The following is a 9,201-nucleotide window of genomic DNA, read 5'->3' as shown; positions in this document are numbered from 1 at the left end:
TAAATGTTTAACACAGGGGAGATTTAGAGGGACTGTTTGTGGTCAACTTTTGTAGAGTCTATCCATAAATGCCATTTATTTTTCATCACACAAGAAATTAACAAAATCTAAACCAATCCCTCCTGCAAAGACATTATTCAGTGGTAACAAGTCCCGATATGAAGAATTTGGGTTTCCTTCTGTCTAATCATATGGCCATTTTCCCAACTGTTTCACACATGCTAATGGAGTGTGACAAGTAAAACACATTTGGCTCAGTGTAGGGTCCAACATGAGATGGCTTCACAATGACAAAGCTTCTGATCATTTTTCCCCTAATCTACCACTGCTTTGGGGAGTTGGTGTCTTCCCTGTCATGAGTGATTTCAGTGCACTGATCAGGGTAGACTTGACAGATTCTTTATCAATGTCAAATGCCTTTTGTGGTTAAGTCCAGTAACGCTAAAACAAAACGCCTCATAGATATTAGATATATGGTGGCATTACGGAATTCTCTTGCAGGCAATATTTTTTGGTCAACCTATGAAAAGAAAAATGGAGCGCAAGCTAAAAAGCAAAGGAAGATGCAGTAGAAGTCCTGACAGTTATTTCCATGGAAAACAGACAATGTGAATGACGTGGGGCCAATCGCCCTTCCCCTCTTTTATTCATGTTAAAATAGAACAAAGAGAAATTGCCAACAAAGAAAGCAATGATCTAGGAGGAGGGGACTGAATCTCATCCACTCTCCCAATATTTAACTTTAGTGCAAACTGCCTTAGAAAAAGTAGAATCCAAGAATCTCTGAGCAAAATTGTCTGGGAGATATTGAGTGGTGTTTTCTTTTGGCAAGAAGGGTTTGCAATGCCATCCCTGTGCCTTTCTAGCAGTACAGCCATGACAATTGTATTATGGAGAATACTCTCTTCTTCAGTTCATAACAATGGTTATTCCACGGGCAGATTATTAAGGAATCCCTCACAGGTGCACACTGTGAGGCCTACATGTATATGTGAGAAAGATACCAACCACCCCTGCACTCCCCATCCAAAATAAATAAAATATCCCAACCACTTGCTGAATCTGAATTGTGCTAATCTAAAATTTCAGATTGCCACTCTCAGAATAACATGGACTCCAGGAAGCTTCATTTGCCTTTTTAGAAACCCCAAAGCCAAGGACAACAAAATTCTCATCAAAGCCACAAACGAACAGTGGAAAGAATTACTCCAAGTGCTGGGTGCTAACCTGAAATTGTTATGTGTTACACTATCAAACTGGTAAATTAATATGAACAAACAAGCCATACGACACACCCTGAGTCCTCGCCTTCAGATGCTCTTCTTCTGTTTTATACAGTTAAAGGCTGAAGCTATTTCAATATTTTATATGATTTTTTCTTTTTTTTGTACTAATTTAGAAAGTTGGTACTTTAATGTAATTGAACTCACTGAAGCTAAAAATGTCCAGACCTTCTTAATAAGGTAGCTTCCAATATTAAACTTTGGGGTCTGTTTTCCTCCCAAGCAGGCACTTAATTCCCATTAGCACTAATGGCAAGTGTGCACAAACATTGAGTAGGAAATATATATCTCTTTGTCTCTTTGTACTGAGGTCCAAGAAGGGAAAAAAAGAAAGCAAGAAAAAAAAACAACAACTTTGAGATTGGATAAAAGAAGTAGAGCTGTAGATTCATTTACAAAGATGAAATTAATGCCTAGCACCCCCAAATTTCAGGGAGAACACATCTTTAATAAGCAAGATGAGGAGAAAATTTCTAAATCATTTCAAATAATACCCAAGCCATGCTTTTCTGAGAAGCCTGTTTCCCCTCCATCCCCAGCATATACATTAAACCCATTTTGCCCTTGTTATGTACATAATGATTCTAGACAACATAAGAAGATTTCATGATTTTTTCTTATCATTTTTACTTATCTACCAGTGAGCCAATTTATGCAGCTTAAACCATTGCTAAACAAGATGCATCAAAAATTGTCTGTAATCATTACAAATAATAGCACAGAATGTTCACAAGAAGCTGTTTTCTTATCATATTTTCATTAAAACATCTTTTCACCTGCTTTGCTTTTCCCATGTCTGGAACCTGTGTTGTAATCAGTCTTATTAACTGGGAACATAAATATGATTTATTATGGTCTGATAATGGAAGCTACGTGGACCCAGAGAAGGGCTATATTGTCCTTTGATAAAATGGCTCTTTTCTCTCAAATGGAGAACTCTATCATGAGAACATGCAGAATGTAGTGAGTGATTATTTCCTCAGGGTGAGTGATGGAAAAGCCCAACAGAAAATCTTCTTGTTGACCACGACAGCCTCAGAGGGTCCCCAAACCTCTCTGAGTTTGACAACCTGCAGACACTTTTGATGAACTGTATTCTTCTGTCAGAGACAGCCTGTCTGGGAGGAGAAAAGAGACCTTTATCGTCTGATCGGCTATTATTGTCTTGATCTTTTATAAGCAATCTCTAATGCACATGAATATAATATCCTTTCACACAAGTGCCAAGCATAATAGAAATGTAGTTAAAGGACCCTCTCCCTGGTTATGTAAATGTCCTTACACCAAAATTAAGAGAGATGGTTTGTGACTGATAGAAGAAGGAAAGAGTAATCAAGCTGTTTTAGCATTCTCTTCCTATATTAAAGACTTCAACCCAGGATAAACAGCATTTACGGTAGATATAAGGAACCAGGTTATTTTGAAGGCTTTGCCCAAAAGGAAAAAATAGTTTTGAATATGATATTAGTGTTATATTTTTATTAAACATGCAAATGGAAGCTGGTTTTTAGCCAAGAGAGATTACTATGCTGATATAACTTAGAAGAAAATGAGTATGTTTCTCAAAATCCCTGTCTGTGGCTTACAGCGAAAACAAAGACCTATTAATAAGGAATGGACTTGCACAAATAGGTCCTCAAGTCCAAATAAAGTTCTCCAATAAATTTCCCTCTTATCCATTTCCAGGAGCCTAAATATAGCAAAAATATATATATTTTTTCAATTAACAAATATATTTACAGGCAAAATGCCTACAATTATTGGGCAATTAAATTCACTTTTTACATGACCCCTGGGAACCATCTCCATTTCTGAACTGTGAAGGATAGTTCTAGATGGTATTTGTTTGGATCTGGTGGCAAAACTTTTCTGACCTTCCAGATAAAGCCCAACCAGCTCATGGAGGACAATAGCTTGATGTTCAATCTCAGTTGCTGGCAGAAAGAAGAAAAAGACATCATCACCCCTCCTAAAATTTTTAATCCCCTCCAGCAAAATACAATACTTAATTTTTCATTAGCCTTCTGACATCTGGACTCGGAATATCCCCACAATAATCACTAATGGGTTTTGCATTACCAATTAGTGGAGAAAACCCTCCAGTGCTGGTGCCAAAGGGTTAATCATTAGTTTCACACCACTGGGTGGTCAGAATTGGAAGAGCAGCCCTTGAACCCAAAGGGGCGGAGAGCAGGGGCCCCAGGCTGGGGAGAGCTCTCATTATTAAGAAACGTGCAACTCACAGGCACTGACCTCCATACCCGCTCCTGGCATCTTGCCTTGAGGTGGATTTGAATATTACACACGGGCACGTGCACATGCGCACTCACACGTTTATGTACATGTCTGGGCCTAGAACAAATCACCCACTTAGCCAAACTTTATTGAACCTGTCCCATCAAAGGTAGCTCAGACCAGAGGAATTCCCTTTCTCTCAGCACCTCTGTCTACTTGCTTCTCTAAGCAATGACTTTCCCATGGGAATGAAAAAATTTGCCATTTCAGAGGGAGTTGGGTTTTGAGAAGTGTTTGATCTCCCTTAAGAGATACTTCTCTGAAGTTCTGCCAACCCTCGATTATCTGTACAAATGAGGCTTAAAGAAAATATGGGTAGATTTGATTCACAGATAATCTTCAAGCTCCAGTTTGGTCTATATTTTCGTTTCTTTCTGAATAAATTGTACTAGTGCAATTAACAAGCAAAACTGATTGGATGTTTCCTTCCTTTTATGGTCAATTCTGTGGATGTCAGCAGAGTAAGCAAACTGTCAAAAAAGCTGGCAAACAAAAGAGAGGAAAGGGAAGAAACAAAATACCCAGATAATCTGCAAACTGATCATCTGCTCCTGAATAATTGAAAAGAATCTAATTTCAAAGATAATGCAAAAAAGGGGCCTGGTGAGCAATTCCATCTTGAAAATGCACAACCCCTTCCCCTAACCCCCAAACAGCTAGTAGAAAAACAAATCATCAACAACAACAACAAAAAAAAAACCCACAAGAAAAATTCCAACCTACTGTCCTCATCCACATTTTCCTTGATCTGATCTATATGTGTTCTAAGTAAAATTTTATTCTAAGGAGGATCAGAGCATGGAAGAGGAGAAGAAAGCGTCATAAACATTTCTTATTTGTGATCTGCCTAGCCTGTGCTGATAGCAACAGGGTTGCTTTCAAAACCATGCTGGCCTAAAACTTCAGCAATCAATCCACCTCATTTCTAATTTTTTTTAAAAGGAAAACCAATATCCAAGAAAGGGACAACAATGTCTCAGTACTTTATTTTCTTTTTTTCCTTTTTTTGGTCCCAAATGTGTGATTCCTTATTAAAAATAAAAAAAATGCTCAAGTACATTTGAGACCGAAATGTGAAACTGTTATGCTTGATTCTCCATGGTGCTTCCACTCAAGGTCAACACTTAGAGCTTTTCAGTTAAGAGAAGAAACGCTCCTAATGAGCCTATGCATGCACAGATTTTGGCCAGTCATTGACTGACTGCACTTATTTAGTTTTGCTTTAGAAATTAAAATCTAATAAAGTAACTGGCAGTTTAAATGTCACCGAAATTTTCTCCAACTTCCCAACTGGAATTGTGAAAACAGTCTCGAATTCCTCTAATCTCCCCGTCTTTCACCTTCAAATGCCACACTTCTGAGGTGAATCATTTCCTAAGAAATAGCAGAACTAGGCTGGGTTCAGAGGTCAGGGGCACAAGGTGGGGAGAGGAAGACTCTTTCTTCGAGTTGGAGGGGATTTGCTTTTTTCCCCACACCAAGGCAAGAAGGACAGGAATCTTGAGGCTGGGAATGTTCTGCCTCTTGCAAAGGAATTCAAAAGAGCCATTGTGTTTGATACTTTGCTTCCCAATTGGCCTCTGACAGCAACATCAGAAGCAACAGATACTTCAGTTCTACATCTAGAAAGAGGCTTTTTTTGTTTTTTTTTCTGGGTAAAAAAAAAAAAAAAAAACCCACACACACTCCTGAAAACATTGAAGCCTAATTACTCTACATCCCATAGTCTTAAAGATTGGGATCTCTCTGATAGTTGGTGATAACCCCTTGAGGAACAGGAGCGGGTCCATTAGAAACTCAGATAACATTTCTTTTTTTTTTTTTTTTTTTTTGAGACGGAGTCTCGCTCTGTCGCCCAGGCCGGACTGCGGACTGCAGTGGCGCAATCTCGGCTCACTGCAAGCTCCGCTTCCCGGGTTCACGCCATTCTCCTGCCTCAGCCTCCCGAGTAGCTGGGACTACAGGCGCCCGCCACCGCGCCCGGCTAATTTTTTGTATTTTTAGTAGAGACGGGGTTTCACCTTGTTAGCCAGGATGGTCTCGATCTCCTGACCTCGTGATCCACCCGCCTCGGCCTCCCGAAGTGCTGGGATTACAGGCGTGAGCCACCGCGCCCGGCCCAGATAACATTTCTATACTTTACCCTCAATAAAACTGAGAGCCAAAATAGGTATATTGGCTGGGTGCTTTTATTCCCCTGGCCATTGAATTGTAATGATCATTATGCAAGACACAACAATATCATTCATTAAGCTATCAAATGGAAAATACATTCTTCACTAAAATGTAAAAGGTATTTAGGATGTCCAGGGCTAAATGACCAAGGAATTGGTTTAGGTTAACTATTGTCTTCCTTGCTTTTCTAGAAGATATATAAATCAAGTCCTCATATACATGGTAGGAACTTTAAAGTTCTGAATGGTCTGAATCTTAGCATTATGAATACATTATAAGAGAATAGAAAGTATTCTATGCAGCGCAGTAATTATATTCATGGAAGTTGGAACTGCTATACAATATCTCCTGGGAGAAGTTTACCCCATTTCTACTGCTACTGGGACACAAACGGAGATGAACCACAAGCAGGAAAAGAGAAGAGAGAAAGAATAGGAGTAGCAATCCAGGAAGCATTGAGGGAGACTGAGGGTAGAGGCTGAAGCAGGAGAGAAGCCATTACTTAGTGGAGAGGGGTTTATGAAACCATTAGCAAGCATGGTAAGGAGGCAAAGAAAGCCAGCCACCAAGACAGAATGCATTCCTCACATTGTAGCCAAAGATAAAGAATCTTAGGCCATTTTAGTTGTTCTGCCAGCTAAGTCAAATCTCGAGCCTCTCTGAAGCCATTGAAAATGTCTCAGGTTTTCTCATTCTGCTATTTTGATAGAAATTAAGCTTTGTAAGTCAAGAAGAACAGAATCAACTCTATATACATGCACTCCTTCTTTATACCCTATTCCTACCTACCTGATTTCATGCCCAAATGATTTAAGACTCCCAAATGCAAGTGAAAATTTTAAAGTTGGAGATATGCTTGTAAAACCACCTAAATGTAGGTCTAAGTTTCCTACTAAAAGAATATTTTAAAAAGATATGGAGAATAATTGTACAGTACTCTTGCACAAAAAAGAAAAATGGAGGCATACCCGTGAAAGGCTCATGAAATAGTCCTTGAAAGTGCTTGAAGTGATGGACAAGTGCGTCCTATGGGAATCTGCTGAGTCTTGTATAGACATAAACAACATTAGTGAACTTTTCTTGTCCAACTTGCCCTTGCGCATCTTTGGCTGGTTCCTCTCCCCATCTACCTTCCCTCTGGGCATCTTTTATTTAAAAAATTGTTTCTTTACTCATGTCATCTGCTATCCTCTCCTCTAGATTTTGACCATCCATTACTTGGACACAACATTAAAGAAGTTCTCCAACTGAAGAAAGATGTTGATTCCCCTTATAGAAACAGCCACTCTCAGCTACCTTGTCACTCCACCAATTAAGATTTTCAACATCTGGAGCAAGATTAAGAGATGTATATCCATTGTTGACCTGTTCCAGATGCAGAAATGATGGTAGTTGCTGAGAAACCATAAAACAAATACTAAACAAAATGAAAGGATAACATTCTGAGCAAAGCTCAGAACCAACAATTAGATACTTGAACCCTAACTCTGAGACCCCAGGGGCACCCAGGGCAACCATATTTCTGAAAAGACTCCAGTCTAGTTCTTGAATTTTTAACTCTATGCCTTTAGCTACTGAAAAACTAGGCCAAATTTGGTGCAATTTCAGTTCCTAGAGACTTTGCAGTCACTTATTCTTTTGAACACTTCTTTGGGGCTTTGTCAACATCCTGCATTTTCATTCATTCCATCATAAAAGCTTCTTTTTAGCTATAAAGAAGACTTATGCCAATTAACATTGTATTTTGTCATCCTCTTAGAGGCTTAGCCTTTGCAGAGAGGATTGACAATGACTTCACCCTGAGTGGTGAGTGGTCTCTCTCAGTCATAATCACAGGCTCAACAGTGCATCATTCCCAATGCCACCTTTTCTTTTTTATAAGTGTTAAAATATTAAATATGTAAGGAAAATGTTCTATAATGCAGCATCATCTCATGCTAGTCATCAGGTTTAAAGTTAAGAAGATAGAAACTTCATATATTTGACAAAGATAAAACAAAAGAATGAAAGGGGGAAAGTATGAGCAGGGGTATTTCTTTCCTGGGATTGTTATTCAGATACAGTTAGACAACTCCTGCTGATTCTGCCGATGGAGGAGGCATTAGACTGATAAAGCCAACCCTTTAGTTTCAACTTCTCTATAATTCTAACATTACTGGGACTATTGAGAGATGTCAAGCAGCTGGGGTCATGTCCCAATACAGAGATCAATGTCTCCTAATATACTCACAGAATACATACAGACATACTCATGGAATTCTCACAAATTAGGTAGGCACTAGAGAGAAGAAAATAAAAATCACAAATAAGGTACTCCACACTGGAGAGTCCAACAGTGACGGCAACATAAAACCCAATTCGAAGCACATAAATACAGAACAGAAATCTACTGGCCCTGTAACTGAGAAGTTCAAGGCATGGTCTAGCTTCAGGCATGGCTCACTCAGGTGCTCAAACAATGTGGTCAGAAATCTATTTCTTTCCCACCATCTCTTTTCTCTATTTTACTCTGTGTTGGTTTTAGCTTTAGGCAAGATTTTTCTATTGGGTGGTAAAGAAAGGTACAGCAGCTCCAAGCTTACACTTTTACCAAGGACATTTTACCAGGGATCCTACAAAAAAATTATGTCTATTTCCCAGAAATTATATCAAATCCCCAAAAGGACTCTTAAGAGTGCTGCTTGGAACTCTTGCTGATTGGGCAGCCTGACCATTTGATTGACAGCCCTACCTGAGTCACAGAGAATTTAGGAAGGGTGAATCCAAAAGGAAGGAAAAGAACCTTTCATCAGAAGGAAGGATAATGGAGGCTGGAAGGTCAAAGGCAGATGTCCTCCAGGCAGTGCCATTCCAGTCACTTTGAACCTAAATCATTTGCAGGGACCTTTGGAACTCATTAGCATCCCCTGGCTCAACGGCAAGATGGTACCTCACCTTTGCTCCAAGTTGCTACAATGTTTTTTCATATCTGAGTAGAGAACAGACCTCAGTGCCTTACGTACCTTACTACATGGATGAATAAGATCTACTCAGTAGCTTGCAATGGTTCTTTGACTGCCATTACTGACTATGATGTAAATAAGTAGTTACTGACTTAAGAACTCACTATTTACTCAATAACTCTTGATGGGAACTGTGATCCCCTTACACACTATTACAGAAGTACATAATTATAGACCTTTCAAAACGGTTATTTCTTTCAGGCATTTGCCTGTAATAGCTCCTTCAAAGCTGTTAAGCTTTTATCATGTGAAGACCCAAGTAGAAAATATTTGGTTCACTCCTCATTGACCTAATAGAGAAAAAATTCATCTTTAAGATGGTGTTAGCTTCCTGGCAAGAACACATGGTCAGCCTTGTCTGGCTTGGGCTATATGAGAAGGAAATCAAATTGCTATTAGATCATGCTCACCTCATTTAGTAATTAAATACTGACACCAAATGATCA

Source organism: Homo sapiens, chromosome 1, assembly GCF_000001405.40.
Source record: "Homo sapiens chromosome 1, GRCh38.p14 Primary Assembly".
Taxonomy (NCBI): Eukaryota; Metazoa; Chordata; class Mammalia; order Primates; family Hominidae; genus Homo; species Homo sapiens.
The sequence above is the reverse complement of the archived record's forward strand: the minus strand, read 5'-3'. Positions refer to the sequence as shown.